This window comes from Homo sapiens, chromosome 18 (assembly GCF_000001405.40).
Source record: "Homo sapiens chromosome 18, GRCh38.p14 Primary Assembly".
NCBI lineage: Eukaryota > Metazoa > Chordata > Mammalia > Primates > Hominidae > Homo > Homo sapiens.
This window is the reverse complement of record NC_000018.10, coordinates 2,950,697-2,972,378: the sequence shown is the minus strand read 5'-3', so window position 1 is coordinate 2,972,378 and position 21,682 is coordinate 2,950,697. Positions and strand designations below refer to the sequence as shown.

At 40.8% G+C, this 21,682-nt stretch overlaps 1 protein-coding gene and 1 long non-coding RNA gene across 9 annotated transcripts in view, besides 3 other annotated features; one reads left to right on the top strand and one right to left on the bottom strand.

Annotated features, from left to right (window-relative positions):
* The window catches only part of LPIN2 (lipin 2), a 96,151-nt gene that overhangs the window by 40,766 nt on the left and 33,703 nt on the right, over positions 1–21,682 (top strand). For 7 of the 8 annotated variants that reach the window (XR_935074.3, XM_047437958.1, NM_014646.2 and 4 more), the window contains 3 exons: positions 11,530–11,730; positions 17,780–17,875; positions 21,023–21,324. Coding sequence is in view for 7 of the 8 variants with exons in the window: in XM_047437958.1 (XP_047293914.1) it covers positions 11,530–11,730; positions 17,780–17,875; positions 21,023–21,324 (599 nt within the window). In the remaining variant the exon portion in view is untranslated. Of the gene's footprint in view, positions 1–155; positions 4,104–11,529; positions 11,731–17,779; positions 17,876–21,022; positions 21,325–21,682 lie in introns of those variants that run through there. The other variant, XM_047437959.1, reaches the window with a different exon arrangement.
* Positions 2,270–5,379, bottom strand: LPIN2-AS2 (LPIN2 antisense RNA 2). Its single transcript, XR_001753322.2, has 3 exons — positions 5,337–5,379; positions 4,710–4,807; positions 2,270–2,351 (listed from the first exon to the last, which is right to left on the bottom strand). It is a non-coding gene; the product is annotated as an LPIN2 antisense RNA 2 (long non-coding RNA).
* Positions 11,962–12,061: an enhancer, noted in NCBI's record as "active region_13031". NCBI's record gives its function as "activates an Ori minimal core promoter by ATAC-STARR-seq in GM12878 lymphoblastoid cells {active_cell/tissue: GM12878}" and the evidence as "EXISTENCE:reporter gene assay evidence [ECO:0000049][PMID:35858748]".
* Positions 14,246–14,405: an enhancer, noted in NCBI's record as "active region_13030". NCBI's record gives its function as "activates an Ori minimal core promoter by ATAC-STARR-seq in GM12878 lymphoblastoid cells {active_cell/tissue: GM12878}" and the evidence as "EXISTENCE:reporter gene assay evidence [ECO:0000049][PMID:35858748]".
* Positions 15,281–15,340: an enhancer, noted in NCBI's record as "active region_13029". NCBI's record gives its function as "activates an Ori minimal core promoter by ATAC-STARR-seq in GM12878 lymphoblastoid cells {active_cell/tissue: GM12878}" and the evidence as "EXISTENCE:reporter gene assay evidence [ECO:0000049][PMID:35858748]".

The window sequence follows — 21,682 nt, the reverse complement described above, 5'->3', positions numbered from 1 at the left end:
CCCCTGCCTCGGCTGACTTCACACTGACTTCCTCTGATGACCAGCAGTCTCTGCCGCGAGTTGCTGCTGCGCTGCTCAGTATTCTCCAGAATGATCTACTTGGCTGTCATTTGTTCTCACGGGGATATTTTTAGATTTACCCATCCTGAGGCGGTGTCATTTTTGTCACTGACATAGACTAGATTTATGCAAGTTTTTCTCTGTGAGGTCTTCAGCAGCTTCTGGAGGAAAGTATTGGTCTGAACACATGGGCATTGCTTTTGGGACTTTGGGTTAACTTCCACCATGGATTTCTTTTCTTTGTTTTTGTTTTTTTGTTTTGTTTTGTTTTTGATATGGAGTTTCACTCTGTCGCCCAGGCTGTAATGCAGTGGCGCGATCTTGGCTCACTGCAACCTCCACCTCCTGGGTTCAAGCGATTCTCGTGTCTCGGCCTCCTGAGTAGCTGGGATTACAGGTGCCCACCACCATGCCTGGCTAATTTTTGTGTTTTTAGTAGAGAGTTTCACCATGTTGGCCAGGCTGGTCTCAAACCCCTGACCTCAGGTGATCCACCCCCCGCCTCGGCCTCCCAAAGTGCTGGGATTACAGTCGTGAGCCACCGCACCCAGCCTGTTTTTTTTTTTTTTTTCCAGTGCATGGTTATATGTATCTTCACTTACCTCTTGAATTTTACTCTAAGTCAGTGAGATAAAACGCAACACTGTGTATATTTCTCCCTCTCCTTGCTGATTCTGTTCACTAGGTCTTGCATTCATTCATTCATTTATTCATTGGTCCATTCATTGATCCAAAACCACTTATTAAGAACCTACTATTGCTAGGCACTGTGCCAAGCTTTCAGGAAGCAGTGAAGCTTGCGGGACTTTTCTCTTCCTTACCGGAACTCAAGAGTTTGAAGGTAGCCTAAATGTTCATGCCGCGTGGTGGGTGCTGTGGTAGGGAGAGGGCAGGGGGCCTTGGGCACTCACAGCAACAGATCCCATCTTGTGACCTCTGCTTTCTTCTCAGCCGCTGAGCCCACACATCCTCCCCTATCATCTTTTTGATCTTTGCCTTTGTGCTCTGGGGATTCACAATCTGTTGTGGATGTACGTTCCTTTTTGATCCCACTTCCTCCTTACCCAGGGAACCTGAAACATCCTTGCTCCTCTTACGAAATACCAGATTAAGATGAAAACTGGTATTGGCTTTTGAAGAATTGTCCAGAAAATTATTGGGCTGATGACTGGGGTGGGTAGAAGATGGGGGCTGGTAATTTTTGAAGATGAAATAGGTGATGTTTATGGTCCTTCCTTAAGTTATACCTGCTGAAAAGCTGAAGTAGACACTGTCGTTGAGTAAAGGTCTGGGCCGCCACTCGGAGAGAGGGTGCATTGCTATACTGGGAAAGCGTCTTCCCTTTTCTGAGCCCTACTCAGTCCAACAAAGCAGTTCATCTGTTTATAGAAAGTGAGTGTGTTGAAATCATCATAGTGAAGTGAACTCAGTGAGCAGAAGTCTGAGCTTTCAGATTCCCTCAAAGGAAATAACATGGTGACAGATCCAAAAATCCTAATTTAAAACTTATCAGCCCTGAGAACTAAGCTTAAGGCCAGCTTCATATTTTCTCATTTTTAAAAAATTAAAAATTTTTTTCTCAACAGATTAAGTTGTTAAGTAGCATAAAGTGTTATCTGGGTTATGTTTGAAGCATGTTCTTGCTAGTTTTGCCAGGCTGATATTTGCAGGAGGGTGTTTTAGGGCTCCAGGTGGCTTTATCCAGTCAGGATCTAGCCTGTCTGATTTAAGTCCTCTGTTGGCAACATTGGAAATGGACTCTGAACAACCACGCAAAGAAACTTATGACTGGCTCATCGTTCAGAGAGATGCCAAGAGGGCAAGAGCCAGGGCCACCTGGGGTGTCAGTGTTCCAAGCTGGTGGGCCTTCTGCATCCCATCTCAGGTAGCCCAGCCCTCCCAGTCTTGGGTGGCCTTGGCTCTCCATATACGTTTCATGAATATCTGTTTGGGCCAGATGTTTCCCACCCCTGTCAGCCAGCAGATACCAAGACCTGGGTCCCGTATTATAGACATGGCTACTGGGGGCCCACCCTTGTGTTTCGGTGCCTCTCTGAGCACTGAAATCATTGAAATCCAGGGAGCCCTGTTTTTACCTTCAGATCTAGCCATTGCATTATGTGTCTGTTTAAATTCCCAAACAGAAATATTGAATCAGAAAATCCCCTCTTCTTACGTATCCCAAAGGTTGATATTGAGTAATATTTGGTTGTAATTGTGGAAGGGGTCCTTAGGCAAGCAGTCTTCCCAGGCCAGAATTTCTGAGTTTTTTCACAGAAGCACTGCCAGTTCTAGAATTTAAGTATCATAAAACAGTCAGGTCAGCTGTCATTAAAATGTCTAAAATTCTATTACTATCTATTGCTTCCACTTCTGATCCACACTTATCAGACCTTGACATCTTTATACGACAGGATGTGAACTTGAGCCCATAACAACTTAGTCTTCATAACAAACTTAATCAGGCTTAAGAGGAGAAAGTTCTTGCAACAGAGCCTAGAGTTAGTTCCCAAACTTGGGTGTCTGTCAGAATCGTGGGTAACAGATTTTTAAGACCTCATTTCCAGCTTTTTATGTAGTAGGTCTGGGTTGGGGTTCATGAGCGTGTATTTGTTTTTATCCCCCTTTCCCGTATTTTTCATGAATGAACCTACATTCTTAAGCACCAAAACTTGCTTCTATTGCAGGCAGTCCAAGGACCACTCTTTGAGAAATACTGACCTAGAGTGTGCTCCTTGCCAGTTTTCCTCATTTAGTGGGGAAAAAGAAGTTAGATATAAAAACCTCCCTGACTGCGACTTCAAACAGTGGAGGTGATGGGGTTGCTCTGATTTAGAAAGACAGAGTTTGTGATCTACGGGGAATTGACTAGAACCTCAGATCCTCCAAAGCACACCTCATCCTGGCTAAATCTCATTCTCTCAGGAGGGAGTCCTCTGAGGCCCAACACCAGCTCAGAACGATTCAAAAACTCCCCTGTACTTTTTCTCTGTAAAAGACAAAGGACAGGACAATTCCCAAGGCTCAGAGCCTTTGTGTAGTCAGTTTTCTGTTGAACTGATTTTGGAAGTAGCACAAAGTAGCAAGAGCTCTTACTTTTACATGGAACTATGCTTCCCTAACCTGGCTCATCTTCATAATTAGTTCTTAAGCTTTAAAACAGTCAGAAATTTGCATTTTTTAAAACCACCCAGAATGATTTTCATGTACACAAACTTTTGAAGCAGTGTGGTAGTAAGTAGTGTTCTTTAAGTTCAACCTTGATAGGAAGTTCCCCACCAGGTCTACTCTTTTTATTTCCATATCTCTAAGTTGGTTCATGCAACAGTCATCAAGACTAACTGATTCTCAGCTCCCTGTGTGTGTCTCTTCTACCATAGAGCTGTGCAGTCTCTTGCCTGAATTTGTTGTGGTGACTTCTGGAGTAGTCTCTCTGCCTTTAGCTACCTCTTCTCTAGTTCATCCTCCCCCTGTGACCTAATCCTGTCGCTTCCCTGAACAGAAGAAGCACTGATTGCACCCATTGCCCACATGATAAACTTGCACAGGGTCAAAGGCCTTGTGGCATCTCACTCTTGTCCCTCAAACTTAGCACACTTTCCCATAAGCTGTTCTCTCTGCCTGGGACTGCCCACTGGGAACCTTCCTTCCTTAATCTGTTCAGCCCTTTACACATACTTGCACTTCTAGAACAAATATTTTCTGCTGCTTGAAGCCTTACCTAACTCTCCCAAGTAGATTTTTTCTCTTTTTGTTCTCTAGTCTTCCTAACAGTCTCCCAAATAGCATTATCATAAGGGATTATATAAGACAGTATTTGTTATATCTCTTTCAAGAACCAAGGTCCTCTGAGAGAGGATGAGGGCAGAATTTTGTTTATCTTCATAAGGACTTACTGTAGTGACTGGCATGAAATAGGTGCTTAATTTTGACTGTGTGAAAACTGAACTGTACCAGAAACAGGCCAGTATAATGGGCATCTTTTTTTGTGATTGTTTCTGAGTTAAACCTGTAGGAGGATTACATCGAGAGGCCTTTCCCGGGTAAGGCTTCTTCCAGATTTCCTTTTTCATTGTGATGAAAAAGCTGTCTGGATACTCGGTGTATTCAGGAAGTTTGCTGGGAGGCACTGGGTTTTCGTTTACAGAGTCTGTACAGGGACTAAATCGTCCTAGAAATGAAGGAGAACACTTTGACCAGTCGCCCTACACTGCTGGGGCAGCAGGAGACCCGCTGTGTTCTTGAGGAGACATTTGGGGCTCTTTCTCCACTGAAGGTCTAGGAGCGGTGAGTGTTAGAGGCTCAGCTGTCAGCACTTCTCATGGGCCATCTTAGCTTCAGGAAGACCGCATGGGCTTTAATGAACCATCTGTTTTGTGCTCCTGGGGGGTAGGCCAGGTTGTTCTTGTGCGGCTGCTATTTTCTATTTCTTGTTTTATAAAGTGAGAATTTAAAGATAGCTAATATAAAATAATACAAAACTAAAGAAACAAATTGGCATTCTACTATGACGGGGAAAAGAAATAACCAGGAAGTACAAAGTAAGGCATTTGCTTGAATTTAAATGTCTGAGAACAGCTTCCCTCGGAAAGGCTGGATTCCCCGTCAGGGCTTGGCGTCGGGAGTCTGTGGCCCTGCTTTCAACTTACCCTAGACTGCGCTGTGTTGTATACTCTTCCTTTCTTCTGTCTAGCTAAGTTGTAACCTCCTTTCGTTCTTTGTAATCCCTTAGCATCTGGTGGGCACACTGTAAATGTTTTGTAAAATGTTGACTCAGTTAAGCACCTACACGATGTGGGCAAGCCCCTGGGGGACTGTCACCCCCTGCCCTCCCTGACCGGGGAGAAGCTTGCGGCAGCTGCTGCGTGGGTACCTTTGCGTTTCATCACTTACTTTTGGGGGGAAGTTTTTACCATCCAGAATCCCCCCCAGATTCATATTGGCCACCTCTAGGTTACTCTGGGATTCTTTGAGAAAACCATAGGGATTTAGTATAACCTGAGTTCAGCCCTCAGATTTTTTTTGCCCTCAGGGACACCACATGACCTTGAGACCCAATGATTTAAGCCATGGGTCAGAGGTAGTGGAGAAAGTTGGGACCCTGAGTATAGGTAGAACTGGGTTCTAGTGAATAGTAGACACCTCTTATCTCAATCTCAAATTTAAAATGAAATTAATAATGCCTGCTAGCATAACCCACATTCTCTTTTTGAAAATCAAATGAGGTATGTTTGAGGAAGTTCTTGAAAAATATTACATGCTAATCAAATGCAAACCGTAATCATGGGTGTCCTGAAGGAGTTTGGTCCAGGAGCACAGGGGCAAGCTGGAATGTTTACCTACATCCTAGGTAACAGTGTCCTGTTGTCTATTTCCTGAAGCATCTGGTGTCTCTCTTCCCTCCTAGCATACTCCTCATGTCCATGAGCAGAAAGTTAGCTGCAATGGCATGTTCTTTGGTAAAAGCTGTTTTAACCTCTGTCCGTAAGCCTCATGACATGTGGCGCTCCCAGGAGTCTGCTTTGTAACACTGGACCATGGTCCAGCGGGAGGGTTAATAGTAGTGGTGTGAGGAGACTTGGAGGGTAAGTATGGCTTCTTTGGATTCCCTGTAATCATTTCATCTTTAAGTAGTCAAGTCGCATTAAGTAAAAATGATACTCAGATTGCTGAAAGCAGCCCACTTGCAGTAAGAAATCTGGAGGCTTCATGAAGGCTTTTATCATGTTTACTTAGAGCATTTCTGTTACTTAGAGATGCAATTAAGGGCTTAGGTTCTAGGCTCATACTTGAGTTTGAATATTAACTCTGCCACTTAATAGTGTGCTGACCTTGGATATTTCTGAACCCGAGTTTCCACATATAAATGGGAATACCAAATCCATGGGTATCTGTGAAGACTACATGAGATAACATACAGGTTAACATAGCACTTGACACATGAGAGACGTGTAACAAGTTTAGTTGTGTGTTCGTTGGTAGTAGTACTAACAATACTAGTACCGATTAGATATTTGGAGATAAACTTAAGAAACAGATTTTGAAACACTTAAAATAGTGGTTTAGAATGTATCCATTTTGAGGCCAGTCGTGGTGGCTCACACTTGTAATCTCAACATTTCGGGAAGCCAAGGCAGGTGGATTGCTTGAGCCCAGGAGTTCAAGACCAACCTGGGCAACATGGCAAAACCCCGTCTCTACAAAAAAATACAAGAATTAGCTGGGCATGGTAGCACATTCCTGTAGTCCCAGCTTCTCCGGAGGCCAAGGTGGGAGCATCGCTTGAGCCCAGGAGGCTGAGGTTACAGTGAGCAGAGATCGCACCATTGCAGTCCAGCCTGGGCAACACAGTGAAACCCTGTCTCAAAATGAAAATAAAAGTAAATAGAATGTGTCCATTTTGTGCTGATAATTTATGAATTTTTTTTATTGTTTTTAAACTACCTTTTATCTCTGATTACTCTTTTCCTTAACAAAAGTTATTTTTGATTGAACACATCAAATAATTGAAATAATTTTAAGCAGTTTTTGTAGGAGGGGGATTGGTATTTGAACCTATTTACTGATGCTTTTTTTTTTTTTTTTTTGAGATTGGGAGTCTCACTCTGTCACCCAGGCTGGAGTGCAGTGGCACGATCTCAGCTCACTGCAACCTCTGCCTCCCGGGTTCAAGCGATTCTCCTGCCTCAGCCTCCCGAGTAGCTGGGGCTACAGGCATGTGTCACGATACAGGCCAATTTTTTTGTATTTTTAGTAGAGATGGGGTTTCACCATATTGGCCAGGCTGGTCTTGAACTCCTGACCTCAAGTGATCTACCTGCCTCGGCCTCCCAAAGTGCTGGGATTACAGGCGTGAGCCACCGCGCCTGGCCCATTTTATTTATAAATCCATACTCCATATAGTGATTATTCATTTTAGTTTCTTTGATGCTCAGCAAAAGATGCTAAGCTGATCTTCAAACTTTTGGTGAATAACGAAATCTTGAAAGCTACCATTCATTCCAGTGTGTGTCCTTTTATACCTTAAAATATTTGATAAGAAAAATATGATAGTGGGCACTGTCAAATTTTATGCATGAAGGACTAATTTGGCGTATTGAATTTTATATGCGAAGGGCCATTTGGTCTCTAATAAGTATTGTAGTTGCTTATTTTCTACTGCTTTTTTTTTTCTTCACTTTTTTATTTGAGTAATCAATAAGTACTTCTTTTCCTTCGGAGCTCCCAATACTTAATCTAGCCCATGGGAAGGTACCTAGGCCTAAACAGCACACTGTATATTACATACACTGTGTAGCAGTCAGGCCACATCTGAGCCATTGTGTCTAGCTGTCTTTAAATATCGTTTTTAAAGATGGACATAAATAATTGTCATAAGAGTCAGAGTAGACCCAATCAGTTCACATATTTTAAGGAACAAGAATGCTTAGCCTAGAATAGAAGAGACTCTGATAAATTCTTTGGTGTGTTGTGGTTTCATTTGGAAGAGCGTGGTAATATTCAGTGTGATTTCTAGTGGACATAATAGTTCTCTGACATTTTTATGGACTTCTTGGTAAAGTAGTGAGTCTCTGTCAACTGTAACGATCCCAAAACTGAAATGCAGCATAGCATGCGATGTTTAAGAAGAGACTTGTCTTAGTCAGCTTGGGGTACTGCAGCAGAATACCATAGATGGTATTTGGCTTAAACAACAGACATTTATTTCTTACCATTCTCACAGATCAAAGTGCCAGCCGATTGGGCTCTCTTCCTGGTTTGCAGACTTCTTGCTGTATTCTCACGAGGAAAGGAAAGAGAGCGTGGTCTGGGTCTCTTTCTCCTCTTAGAAGGACACTAATCCATCACATGGAGGCTCCACCCATGTGACCTCATCTAAACCTAATTACTTCCCAAAGGCCCTGTCTCCAAATACCATCACATTGGGCGTCAGGGCTTCAATATATGAATTTGGTGGTGGTGGGGGACAGAGGGAGGTCATAGATATTACTTAACTTTTCTAACCCTCATTTCTTTTTTTTTTTTTTTTTTTTTTTGAGACGGAGTCTTGCTCTGTCACCCAGGCTTGAGTGCAGTGGTGTGATCTCGGCTCACTGCACCCTCCGCTTCCCAGGTTCAAGTGATTCTCCTGCCTCAGCCTCCCAAGTAGCTGGGACTACAGGCGCACGCCATCACGCCCGGCTAATTTTTTGTATTTTTAGTAAAGACGGGCCTTCACCGTGTTGGCCAGGCTGGTCTTGAACTCCTGACTTCAAGTGATCTGCTTGCCTCAGCCTCTCAGAGTGCTGGGATTACAGGCGTGAGCCACTACACCCAGCCTTAATTGTCTTTAAAAATAGAAATAATACCACCTCTAAAGTAGTTCTGAGATAATAATGTATAAGTTTAAGAATTTGGGATGTTACGAGCTTTCAAAAAAAGAGTTGTTTCCAGTGTGATTATTGTTAGAGTATTTCAGAGATGTGTTAGAAGCATTTTTGGTATTTGTTAAAAGAATGGGCTGGATGTATTCTTCTTGTTCCAAGAATCAGCAAGTGCACTTTAATATTTTTATTTATGCCCGTAAGCCTCAAGATAGGGATGCTGCTCTGTGACCATTTTTCATTTCCACATTTTGCTTTTTGTGTGGGCATCTCCAAATGAGCCTGCCTTTCTGGTTAAATATTCTGTCTTTGCTTTTGCTCTTTTTTCTCTGTGACTTCTTGTTTGTTTCTTTCTGCATGGCTCTCCTTTGGTCTCTGTCACTCTCCATTATTTATTTTGTCCTCCCACATTTTCCCTCATCATTCATGATAAAATAGGAGGAATAGTTTATAGTGTGTTATTTTGCTATATTTTTTAAACATTTGGGTTACATCATTGTGTATCTTTTCTGCTGCTGGTTCAGAGTGTGGCTTTCCCAGGTGTTGACCAGGACAGGTCTGACTTGGTTCTTATTGTGTAGCTATGCTGGGCTAGCATGTAGGAATAAGGTATATGGCACTAGATTCTGCTTCAAGAGCAGGCTGTTTAACATATCCCTCATGCCTATGACGAACAACTGCATTTCCTCCAGACGTAACTAACGGTGAGGAAGCCTCTTTCCCCAGCTCTGTTGGGGTGACCCTTCTAGCAGACAGCTGCTCATCATACCCAGGGTGTAGCATGTTAAGCTACAGGCCTCCCTTTACTTTTGTTTTACCAGCCTTCACAATATAAATGTCATTGTTTCATTATCTGTCAAGAGAAAACCAGTTATTTGACAACCTGTATTTTTCTACATTTAGCAACTGGCATTTACACATTAGGTTTTCCCATATAACAGCACATCCCTTAACCATGGTAGTTAAAATAATCTTGAATAGGTACGGTTACACTTAATTATGAATTTTATGCTGTAGTTGATGGAAGCTTGTTACACATTTATGTTTATAAGACTTGTTTGTGGCTGAATGTCAATGCTTAAAAGTTAGCATTTTTTTGTTTATTTTAAGAAAAGGTCTAACATGTTTTTTTTTTCTTGTAATAAAATTCATTTTAACATTGCCACCACCATTCAAGCAGTAATACCAAGATTGACTGCTTGGATGCTGTTTAATTCATGTGTGTGCCATGTAGGTAAAAAGCATGTTGTGAATATGCATTACCTACAGAATATGAAAAGGATGCATGAGATCTAGCTGTGTTATTTTTTAGAACCACATGTGAATCTACAGTGACCTCAAAATAGGAATTTAATTATTAAAAACATAATGGGATGTTATATGAATATTTTGATGAAACACTATTTCCTCCCCACACTTTTTTTTTATGTTTCTTATTTTTTTAGTCTCATTTATTACTAGTTCATTTGTTCATTCATTCAATAAATGATTATTGAGCACTTGATACATGCTTAATTTGGTTTAGCTATTGAGGTCAAATCAATTATTCCAAAACCATCACCAGATTATAATTGTTTGATATCACATAAAGGATGTCATCTTATTTTGTTATTTAGGAGTAAGTTTTGCAGCACAAGCGTTTTCCAGCTTTTCTATGGGTGCATTTAAGGGCCTTGGTAACATTAGTTTTAAAATATTTTAAAAATTTCTTCCAGGGTAAAATTATCATGGCGATGCTTCATGGTGTAGAACTGATGGGCCTTGATTACACATTCATCCGCGTGTAGGAACAGGAAACAATTTAGAATCAGGGCTCTGCCGTGGCCACTCATCTGTGAAGAGCAGAGTGAATTTCTGTGCAGGCAGATATCCTGGAGGCCCCTGAGTTTTCCCAAGAAGACAGCATTCTTTCTCCCAGTTCAGTTTTGGACTCACTTGGCAACACAGAACATGATCTCTGAAACTTTTCAGAGCATGGACCTTTAAGCTCAAGGCAGCCTCCAAGCTGGGTGTAGAGAAACCACGAGCTGCTTATGGCAGACAGCCTGGAGAGCAGTCAGTCAGTCCTGTGGTTGGGTGAAAGTTGGCCTCTGAATTAGCTGGAGCATTGGAGGGGCTCTTGGTTACTCTCTGTCATTCCAGTCCCCAGAATGGCTTTCACTGAATTGTGCTTTGGCATAATATTAGGGGTGTCAGCATCTAATGAATAAAATGTGGGGGTGTATTCAGTAGCTGGAAGTAAAATCTGACATTAGGACTGAAGGGGGGGATTTGGTTTTTATTAGTGGAAAAGTTGGGGATGGGGCCAAGGCAATAAAGCCACCCCTGGCTTTAGCTGTACTTCCTCTCCTTTGAGCCTTTCTGGAGAACTCCTTGCAGACCTTTTGATTGTGATTTGAATAGTGAATTGAGGTTGAGGAACAAGAGTAAAACCCTTTTCTGTGCTTTGAACTTTGTAGAACTTGATTGCATGTTCCAGTTAGTTATATTGAGTCATTGAAGGGATTTTTCCGTAGAAGTAATGTTATAAATGGGCTAGGCTCAGGCAGACTTGCCAGAGTTTATTTAATCTAGCATGTGTCCGAACCATACTATTCTGGTAATAATAGTTCCTTACAAAATGTAGCTCTCACTAATTTATTACATTGGTTCTGTTGGAAGATGAATCTCTGGTTTCTCCCGGGGATGATGTTTGTTTTTTCTGTTTGGCTGCTATGGCCAAAGTGGATGCAGTAGCCGCAGGTTCCAAAGGGTCTTGGGCAGGAGGTCAGGGTTCTTTGGTGATTCTGTGCTGATCCTGAACTTTGGGGAAAAAGTCCCTAATGGCAGTCAGTACTATCCAGGTTGCTGAGAAAGGAAAGGGAATGCCTCAGGCCCTGGCTGGAGCAGCCTCTCAGATACAAAGGAGAATAGTCTCGGGAGGTCCGTGTGTGGAAATGCGTAGAAACAATGGTAGCATGAGACTGTTAGGTTGAAAATTAATAAGGCTAATGATATGAAATCTGGCATACAAGTGAGTAGTGTCATTTTTGTTACGACTGTTATTTCTTTGTCAATAGATCACAAATTTAGTGTTAACATCTCATCTAATTTTTGTTTCTTGTAGTCTCAAACCATGAATTATGTGGGACAGCTGGCTGGGCAGGTGATTGTCACTGTGAAGGAACTCTACAAGGGCATTAACCAGGCCACCCTCTCTGGGTGCATTGATGTCATCGTGGTACAGCAGCAGGATGGCAGCTATCAGTGTTCACCTTTTCACGTTCGGTTTGGAAAGCTGGGAGTCCTGAGATCCAAAGAGAAAGTGGTGAGTGTCCTCAAGGAGAGGAAAAGTCATCCTGAGATTCAAAGAGAAAGTGAGTGAGTGTCCTCAAGGAGTAGAAAAGTCATCCTCTATGAATAAATCGCTATTGTGAGTTTTCTAGGCCTTTTTTTTTTTTTAACCTGAATGATGTTGAGACAATGTTACGAGAAGTCAACCTTTATGTATTGCTTTTGAAGTTACTTTGAAAACCACAAAGCTCGACTGCAGAAGTCTCTTCAAGGGAAAGGGAAACTGAAAATTATTATAATAATCTTACATGTTGCAACTCAGAAAAGCAAAACAGAAACTAGATGGGGGAACTTAGACATATTTAGAAAAAGAAAAATTTCCTTTACCTTATATAGTATTTTTAAATACTTAGGCTAATACCTTCATACTAATTGTAAATGGAATAGGTGGGTATAATCAAGAACACACACACACACACACACACACACACACACACACACACACACATTTTTGAGTCGGAGTCTCGCTTTGCTGTCCAGGCTGGAGTACAGCGGTGTGATCTTGGCTCACTGCAACCTCCGCCTCCCAGGTTCAAGCGATTCTCCTGCCTCAGCCTCCCAAGTGCCTGGGATTACAGGCACGTGCAACCATGCCCCCCTAATTTTTTGTATTTTTAGTAGAGACGGGGTTTCACCTTGTTGGCTAGGCTGGTCTCGAACTCCTGACCTCAAGTGATCCACCGGCTTCGGCCTCGGCCTCCCAAAGTTCTGGGATTACAGGTGTAGAGCCACCGCACCTGGCCATATTTTTTTTTTTAAAGGAAATTAATTAATGCCACATTTTGTTTGTTTTGACAAAGCTGTAAAAACTTTTGTAATCTAAATTCTGTTGTTGATACCAGGACTTGTCCCCATATTTGACTGAAATGCTAACCAACAGACCATAGGCTGGTTGACTTTTGTTTGTTTTAGGGAAGATTCATTCAGGAAGAAGATATTTGTGTAGGTTTTTCTTATCCTCTTCAGGTTATGGAGCAGCTGGAAGTTTTGCTAGTATATCTGATGTCAATCAAATTAGAAAACAGAGCTAGTAATAACACTTGGCAGGTACACAGATTTCTCTTTCTATTCTTGCCTCGCAGTATCTACTTAAATAACATAGAAAGGCTTTGTCAACATTTTAAAGCACAACAAAAGAGCCTCACCATTTTCTGGCACAGACCTAAAAGTATGTGGTAGAGGACCACTGGTGTAAGTCGAAAACATTTATTTTCAGCTTTTTGCTATTTTATATAGCTGAGCTTTAAATAGAAATTTCCCTCTATTTAATTAAACTTAAATGTTATTTTGAGAGTGAAAGAAAATGGATTTCACAAAACTAGATATTCTTTTTCTTTTTTTCCTCCAGGAAAAACATCTCATTTCTAGGTATTACAAAATCAGTTTCCACTGGAGAACCACATTTCAGGGTAGCAGGGCTTGTGTGGTCTGGCCTCTGTTCAGAGTCACCCTTTAGAAAGCAAAAGCAGTTGCAGTTTACTTAGGGACTTAGAAACTTTCCATTGCAAAACAGTGTTATTTAGCCATAGTTTAGGTTCTCTGAAATTTTTTCTTTCTTTGTGGTAACACCAATAGTACTTTCAGACTGGACCTGTTCTGGGGGAATTGGCAACAAACTGAAATTTCCCATTAGTTGTGTATGGATCTATTGTAAAACTGCTGATAAGGTATCATCATCATTATTTTTTTTTTTTGCTGAGATTGTTTTTTATCACATTGGATCAGTGTCTGGCCTTTCAAAATGGAACCTGAAGGCAGATGTATTTATAAGCATGTATGCATCTGTAAATGGTGACCAAGTAGATAAAACACCTTTTCCTGCTTGCTGTGTGCCTCTAATTTAGGAAATAATACAATTCCTGTGCAAAAGCTACACAATCGTTGTGTTACTATCTTGTCAAAACGTTGCATTTTTAATAGGAATGTACTCATGAGACACAGGAAAAGAGAATTTTTTTCCTCCTACTCCCTTAGTATCTCAGAAACCCAAAGAATATGTTTGGGAGGAAATTTGGCCATTTGATTTACCAAAACAGCTTTCCTGTGAGAAAACTGAAAAACTGTGAGAGTAAAACTGAAATCATGCCTACTTTGAGATACACTGGCAATTTGCATTAACTATTTGTCTTATTTTAAGTCAGTTTGGGTTAGGGAAAGCTGGCCATTGATGTGAAAGTAAGACCCCAAATTTTCAAATACGGGTGTACCTATGAAGTGAATTTGAAATCATGACCACCTTAAAACCACTGTTTAGAGAGATGTAGTATAATAATTTTCCCACTGCCATTGATACGTAATTGTTTGGTAGAACAGCAGTACTCCCAGTAAATTTAGTAACTTAGGAGTTTACTTTTAGAAGGTAAATGTGTACTTGATATTTTAAAATTTATTGATATCAGAAAAAGCTGATTACTTGATTATTTATAAAAGTTTTTTTTTCTTTTTTCTGTTTTTTTTTTTTGTTGTTTTTTTTTTTTTTTTGAGATGGAGTCTCGCTTTGTCGCCCAAGCTGGAGTGCAGTGGGGCGATCTCTGCTCACTGCAACTTCCGCCTCCCTGATTCAAGCGTTTCTCCTGCCTCAGCCTCCCGAGTAGCTGGGATTATAGGCGCGTGCTACCACGCCTGGCTGCTTTTTGTGTTTTTAGTAGAGATGGGGTTTCTCCATGTTGGCTAGGATTACCTGATCTCAGGTAATCCACCCGCCTTGGCCTCCCAAAGTGCTGGGATTACAGGTGTGAGCCACCACGCCTGGTCAGATTATTTATCAAAGTTAAATAACCCAGTGTATTAAAACTATTTTCATTGCTGATAACAGAAATTTACCCTCTACTAGCTTAGGCAAAAAAGCTTGCTGTCAGAATTCCCTTTTTCTTTCCCCACCTCTGCTCTCTGCTTCCACTTCTGTTTTCTCTCTAATGTAAAATGGCCACCAATACCTCCAGGCTCACAATCTGTTAACTCATCAATCCCAGTGGAGAGAGAGCTTCCTACAGAAGTATCAGTATTTAGTCTCCCTGTCAAAGGAACGGACATATCTCTGGGACCAGTTTCTGTAGCTGGGAAAGAGATATATTTATTGGCTTGGACAACAGCCCACCTCTACTCCCTAAAGCCACACCAGAAATACAGGTTGAGTATCCCTTATCTGAAATGCTTGGGACCAGAGCATTTTGGATTTCATTTTTTTCATTTTTTGGAATATTTACACTATACTTACTGGTTGAGCATCCCAAATCTGAAAATCTGACGTCTGAAGTGCTCCAGTGAGCATTATCTTTGAGTGTCATGTAAATGCTCAAGAAGTTTCAGATTTTTGAGCATTTTTAGATTTCAGATTTTTGGATTTGAGACACTCAGCTTGTATATGATTTGAAACAGGATGAATAGACTCCCAAAAGACATTTGAGATATTCTTACCCAAAGAGTGGTAAGCTAGTTCAAAAGTCTAGTACATCGACTGTTTCTCAGAGATACCAGTTTCATTTCAGCATCTTAGTCCTATATTATGTTCAGCACAATTAAGCCACAGTGTAAGAAGTAAGACTATATGGAAATGAGGGGTTATTTTTAAAACTGTTTTACTAGAATTTCATACATCAAATTAGTGTCCTTTTTAAAATAATCACGTTGGTGGGAAGAATTTGTTCCAACTTGGTGTTCTCTCAAAATATTTTTAAAACCTTTGTGTTGTTGTTGCCTGAAGAGTTCACAGCATATTCTTTTAAGTATTGCCAATATTAGCATAATTTGATGTTAGGTTTAATTTTTGGAAAGACCAAACTCCATTTAAAGTCACACAAAGATGATAAGTAGTCACATTGAGAAATGTCATACTTGATCTCTAAAAGTAAGGGCTGTGAAGTGTTAATTTTTCTGAGATAGTGTATGAATAGTTTAGAGTCTGAATTTGCATGTTAAAGAAGCATTCTTCTATTTTCCCAGCTACACTGTTTAAATGGATAGCCTCCAAAAATGAAATTAGTTGCTCAGATTGTCCCAGTTTGACTGTTAGTGTATGTCCTTCAAGTTGAGTTCCTTTGAAATGCTCCCATCAGTTTTTGAACCCTTCCTTCCTGGTACCAGAAGGTGTTCCAGAAGAAGCTACTTTCCCTGCCTCAGCTCTGGCATTAATTATTTTACGCCAGTTCCTTTTATTGAAGAATAGTATTTACGAACAAAGATCTGCTTATTAGGCGTGCTCGTAACTCCTGAGGTATCATTGCTTCTAGGCAGCCCAAGCTGGCAGAGCCAGGAAATGGGTGGATGTGTGCACGTGTACACACACACACACACACACACACACACACACACCCCTGCATCTATATATGAAAATCATGAGGGCACACGGGTTCCTCCAATTCCCATCCACCATCGCAGGCTTCTTTCCCCCTCCTTATTTATAATTTTTTTCTCTTTCAACAGGAAACATGGTTCTGATTATCGTCAGTATATCTGCTTAGTTACTCAATCCTAGGAAACACAAAATAGTTTCAGAATTGCTAACTCAAATCTCTGTGAATGTATTAACTACTGCACAATGTTTGTTTGGAGTAACATATCAAATATGTCTTTAGACTTATAATACAAGTCAAAATACTGTTTCCAAGGTAAGGTTAGTTCCATTCTTCCTCACTTCAGTGTGGTTATGTTATTCATACATAGGAGGTTTTTTTGTTTGTTTTTGTTTTGTTTTGTTTGTTTTTCTTTTTGAGAGAGTTTCGCTTTTGTTGCCCAGGCTGGAGTGCAATGGCGTGATCTCGGCTCACTGCAGCCTCCGCCTCCTGGGTTCAAGCGATTCTCCTGCCTCAGCCTCCCGAGTAGCTGGGATTACAGGCGGGCGCCACCATGCCCAGCCGATTTTGTATTTTTGGTAGAGGCGGGGTTTCACCATGTTGGTCAGGTTGGTCTCGAACTCTTGACCTCAGGTGACCTGCCCACCTTGGTCTCCCAAAGTACTGGGATTACAAGCATGAGCCACTGCACCCGGCCCATACATAGGAGTTTTATAACAAGCATTTTGACAAAATATGTTGATAAGGTTTGGATGTCCCCTCCAAGTCTCATGTTGAAATGTGAACTCCAGTGTTAGAGGTGAGCCTGGTGGGAGGTGTTTGGATCATGGGGGCAGATCCCTCATGGATGGCTTAGCACCATCCACTTGGGGATGAATGAGTTTTTGCTGAGTTGACAAGATCCAATTGTTTTAAAAGTGTGTGGCACCTTTGTGTGGCACCCCCAGTCTCTTGCACCTGCTCTCACTATGTGACGTGTCTGCCCCCACTTCGCCTTTCACCGTGAGTAAAGGTTTCCTGAGTCCTCCCCAGAAACCAAGCAGATGCCAACGCCGTGCTTGTACAGCCTGCAGAACCATGAGCCAGTTAAACCTCTTTTCTTTATAAATTGCCCAGCCTTGTGTATTTCTTTATAGCAAACACAAAAATGGCCCAACGCATATGTCTACCTGAATTTTTTTTTGACATGATATTACTTATCCCATCGTTTCACCTGGTTCTTGGGAAAATGGAACCGCCATCATCAGTGACCAATCACAGCACTGATTGTCACCTGTTACTTACGTAGTGATCTGTGGGCAGAAGAGCTGTCGGTGAAGTTGTACTTGATGCAGTTGCTCACAGCTCACATACTGAGGTTCCTGAAACTTGTGTGTATCTGAACCGTGTGAGGTGAGGCCTGCCTGTGCCATAACTTGGAAAGTGTGCAAATGTTTGACAATAATATTTCCCCCATTTTAAATTTGAAAAATAATTTTAAAATTTTTATATGTTGTAAAAATAGATGGTGAAACACTTTCTTTCAATTCCTGGTTGTCCATCTCTCCCTCTGCCAGCTCCATTTGGCTTCTTAGGGGTTGGGTAGGGGCAAGTAGCAGTGTTTCTCAGAGGCTGTAGTTCTAGGAACCTCAAAACTATGCTAAGTTTGACTTGAGAACTCAGAGTTCTGGTTTAGTTTAACTTGAAGGAAAGACTCCTTGAACATTAAGTCATACTTTGTTTCTCCCATAGATTGATATAGAAATCAACGGCAGTGCAGTGGATCTTCACATGAAGTTGGGTGATAACGGAGAAGCTTTCTTTGTTGAGGAGACTGAAGAAGAATATGTAAGTTTGCATGGGTTACACCCTCCTTACACAGTGTGCTCAGGCCTCTGGTACGTGGCCCAGACGGACCGTTTAGCAGTTTTTTATGGTTGATTGTACAGAGGACTGTTGTTGGCAAGACAAGCTTTAGTTTCATGTTGAAGAACTAAGCTGTCAAAAAGGAACTGAAGGGATGAGGAATTTTTCTCCATACAAAGTTTCAGGGTGCAGGGAGCATGCTGAATGCACATACTTGCACTTTTTCTAAGGGAAGGCACATCACTTTCTAGCTTTAATGAGCTTTCTTACTTAGTGTTGCTTCTGGTTCACATATTGACTTGAATACATTCAGTTCTGCCTGAGTAGGGCATTTCTCTTCTGGCTATGTGTTTATCCACATGTGCCCTTTGGACTGGGACTCATGTTTACCATTTTGGTTGGGATATTACATCCCTCACCTTGAGTAGTCAGGTGAATTAATTTATTATGATCTCAAGAGAGTTAAATTAATTGGCCTATATCCTTTTATAAGTGATTACATGTTTGACTTCTTCTAGCAAACGAGCATGATTTGTTAAAATCCCCCCTCCCCAGCACACACATTCTGTATGTACTGATTTGAACGCTAGTTAACGACGGATTCTTGATGGATTCAATGTGGATCTTTTTATTTATTTATTTATTAATAATAGATTTTACATTCTCACTAAAGAACTCAGATCACGTAATGTGCATCTTTTTAAAAATTCTTTCAAAGGCATCAGTACATCATTCTTCATAAAGAATAAAGTCTCAAATAGCAAAACTGATAAGCATCAAGTTATTAAGGATACAGGACTACTTTTTTGGCTTTGAAGATGAACTTACAGTTTGATACAATAAATTTACAAAGAAAATTATTACCAAAAAATACGATAGCAAAATGAGATTGTTTATCATTTTTTGATTGAGAAACCAACAACTTAGGTACCAGTAGGTAAAGCAGCATTGAAACACTATGATTTATGAAGGGGAAGCTTGATCAGACTGGTGCTTTTTCTAGTTTCTTCATTACTTATCTTTGTAATACCTTGTTTGCATTTACTTGGCCTAAGCAACATTTTTCCTTATCAGAGACAGAGGCAAAGAGCAGAATGAAACATAATAAATGACATCTGTCAAAAAAAAAAACCACTTTTTGTATGTTTCTTAAAATTATTTATAATTCATAACACTGAACTTCTAGATCAGCAGGCACCGTAAGCGAGAGGACTGGGTTATTGATGTTAACCTCGTTTTCATGGCTTATTCTGACAGTTCCGCTAAAAATTATGCTCAGCAAGGACAACTTGGAAAATGTCAACTTTCCAGCCTTTTTCTCCCTATTCCACATATGACTACATTGACCAGAGTTTATCTTGTGTAGTATGCTTCTCCTTAAAATAAAAAATTGTTAATTTATCCAACAAATGTTGGAATTACTACTCTATGCCACATGCTATGAATACAACATGCCTCTGTTCCTCTAGGGGTTCGTCATTTAGAGTAGGATAAAGATGACCAAAAACCCAGTTTGTTGCCATTTATTTGATTTTTTTCTCTCAGATTTTTCTCATTTAATTATATGTCATCAACATTCTTTTCAAGTCTAGTTCTAAACCTAACTCTGTGCTTTTAATAGCTGCACAGTATTCCATAGTATGGACATACCATAGTTTGTTTAACCATTTTCTTGCTGGTAGGCGTTCAGGTTATCTTCATCCTACAAACATTGCTATAATAGAACTAAGAAATACCACCAGAAACAAAAAGAGCTTTCAGTAAGTAAAATAAAGATCATTGAATTAAAAATCCTCAAAGTCAGAGACCACGACCTCTCATCTGGGTTTCTTTTGGACATTCAGAATATCTTATTACAATTTCTCTGTAAGTGTGTGTTTCTGGTGAACACAGATTTCTCCTAGCTAAATCAAACTTTAGCTTCAGGGTAATATGTTTATCAAAGCTAAGTTCAAAAGCTTAATAAAAAAATAATTACAGAAACCTATACATTTTCAGAACTATTGTTTAAAAGCTTGAGTATTTTAAATTATATGAGGTTAATTTTTTTGTTGTTTGTTTTGAGATGGAGTCTCGCTCTGTTGCCCAGGCTGGAGTGCAGTGGCATGATCTCGGCTCACTACAACCTCCCCCTCAGGTCCAAGCAATTCTTCTGCCTCAGCCTCCTGAGTAGCTGGGATTACAGGCATGCATCACCAGGCCCAGCTAATTTTGTATTTTTAGTAGAGACAGGGTTTCACCATGTTAGCCAGGCTGGTCTCAAACTCCTGACCTCAGGTGATCCGCCTGCCTCTGCCTCCCAAAGTGCTGGGATTGCAGGCGTGAGCCACCACGTTCTGCCTGAAGTTAATTTTTATCTCTATTATGTACCTTCCATTTCCTCTGATGATACAAAAAGGAATGAAACAAATGGCTAAGACATGAATTTACTGAACACCAGACTTGATCGTTTATTTAGTATTAGGAGTTTGACTGCTTCTAAATATTGGGCCTTATTTTCTTCTTTTGAATTCCTACAGGAAGGAATATTTCTTATTTTTAAACATAAATGCTTTATGGTTTAAAAATTTACTAATGTCATTTGTTACACGGTATTGTCTCTAATTGCCTTTCTCCAATTAATTTGGCAAAACATAAGCATTGGCCGCTCTGTATCACTGCATCCTCGCGTCACTCACCTGTCCTGCTGCCCTTTGTCTGATGTAGTGTCCTTAATCTCTGCCTTCTGCTTTTTCCTGTTCTGAATGTTCTGTGTGAGTTCTTGAGAGAGTCCTTTGTAACACCTCCTGAGATTTTTGTTGCTGCTTTGATCTTTGCTTTGTGAAGAATTTAATAGGCTTAGCTTTAATTATGGCTTTGGGGTGTTCCATGCTGACTTGGCATGTCAGTTCCTTCAGATGGACTCAGTTACATGTACCCAAGTGGGCTGGTACTTAGCTGCCTCACAGGGGAAAGACCTCGTCAGAGTATAGTAGGCAGTGCCTTAGTTCAGTGGGACTTTCTTGCCTTTAGGGAATATGTATTTTTTTTTTTTTTACCATGGTGAAAATTTATATATTCAAAATATTACTGCTTTAATTCACTGTCGAGTTTGTCATGGATAACTTTTCTTTCTCCATTCTCCTCAAGGAAAAGCTTCCTGCTTACCTTGCCACCTCACCAATTCCTACTGAAGATCAGTTCTTTAAAGATATTGACACCCCTTTGGTGAAATCGGGTGGAGATGAAACACCATCTCAGAGTTCAGACATCTCACACGTCTTGGAAACAGAGACAATTTTTACTCCAAGTTCTGTGAAAAAGAAAAAACGAAGGAGAAAGAAATACAAACAGGACAGTAAGAAGGAAGAGCAGGCCGCATCTGCTGCTGCAGAAGACACATGTGATGTAGGCGTGAGCTCCGATGATGACAAGGGGGCCCAGGCAGCACGGTAGGACTCTCAGCCTGGGAAGGGTCTTGTGCGGGTACCTAGAGTTCATGTGAAGCCAGGAGCTGCCAGTTTTTTTATGGATACACAGTGTGAGGTTTGGGCTTGTTTTCCCCCTTTACAGTTTATTGTGGAATCAAGCAGCAAAGGCAGTTTCTTTGTTCCTTTCAACTATTCTATAAATATGCTACTGAAATGTCATTTGTAGCAGACTGGTTGTGTTTCTTTTCATAAAGAAGTTTCCAGGAGCCAAATAAGTTCTAAGTCAAAAGATCTGAATTAGTGATTTGCCCCTCGGTGAGCAGATCCAGTTGGACACCATGTCATCTCTGGGATTTCCCTACCCAGTGGCCTTAGGCTT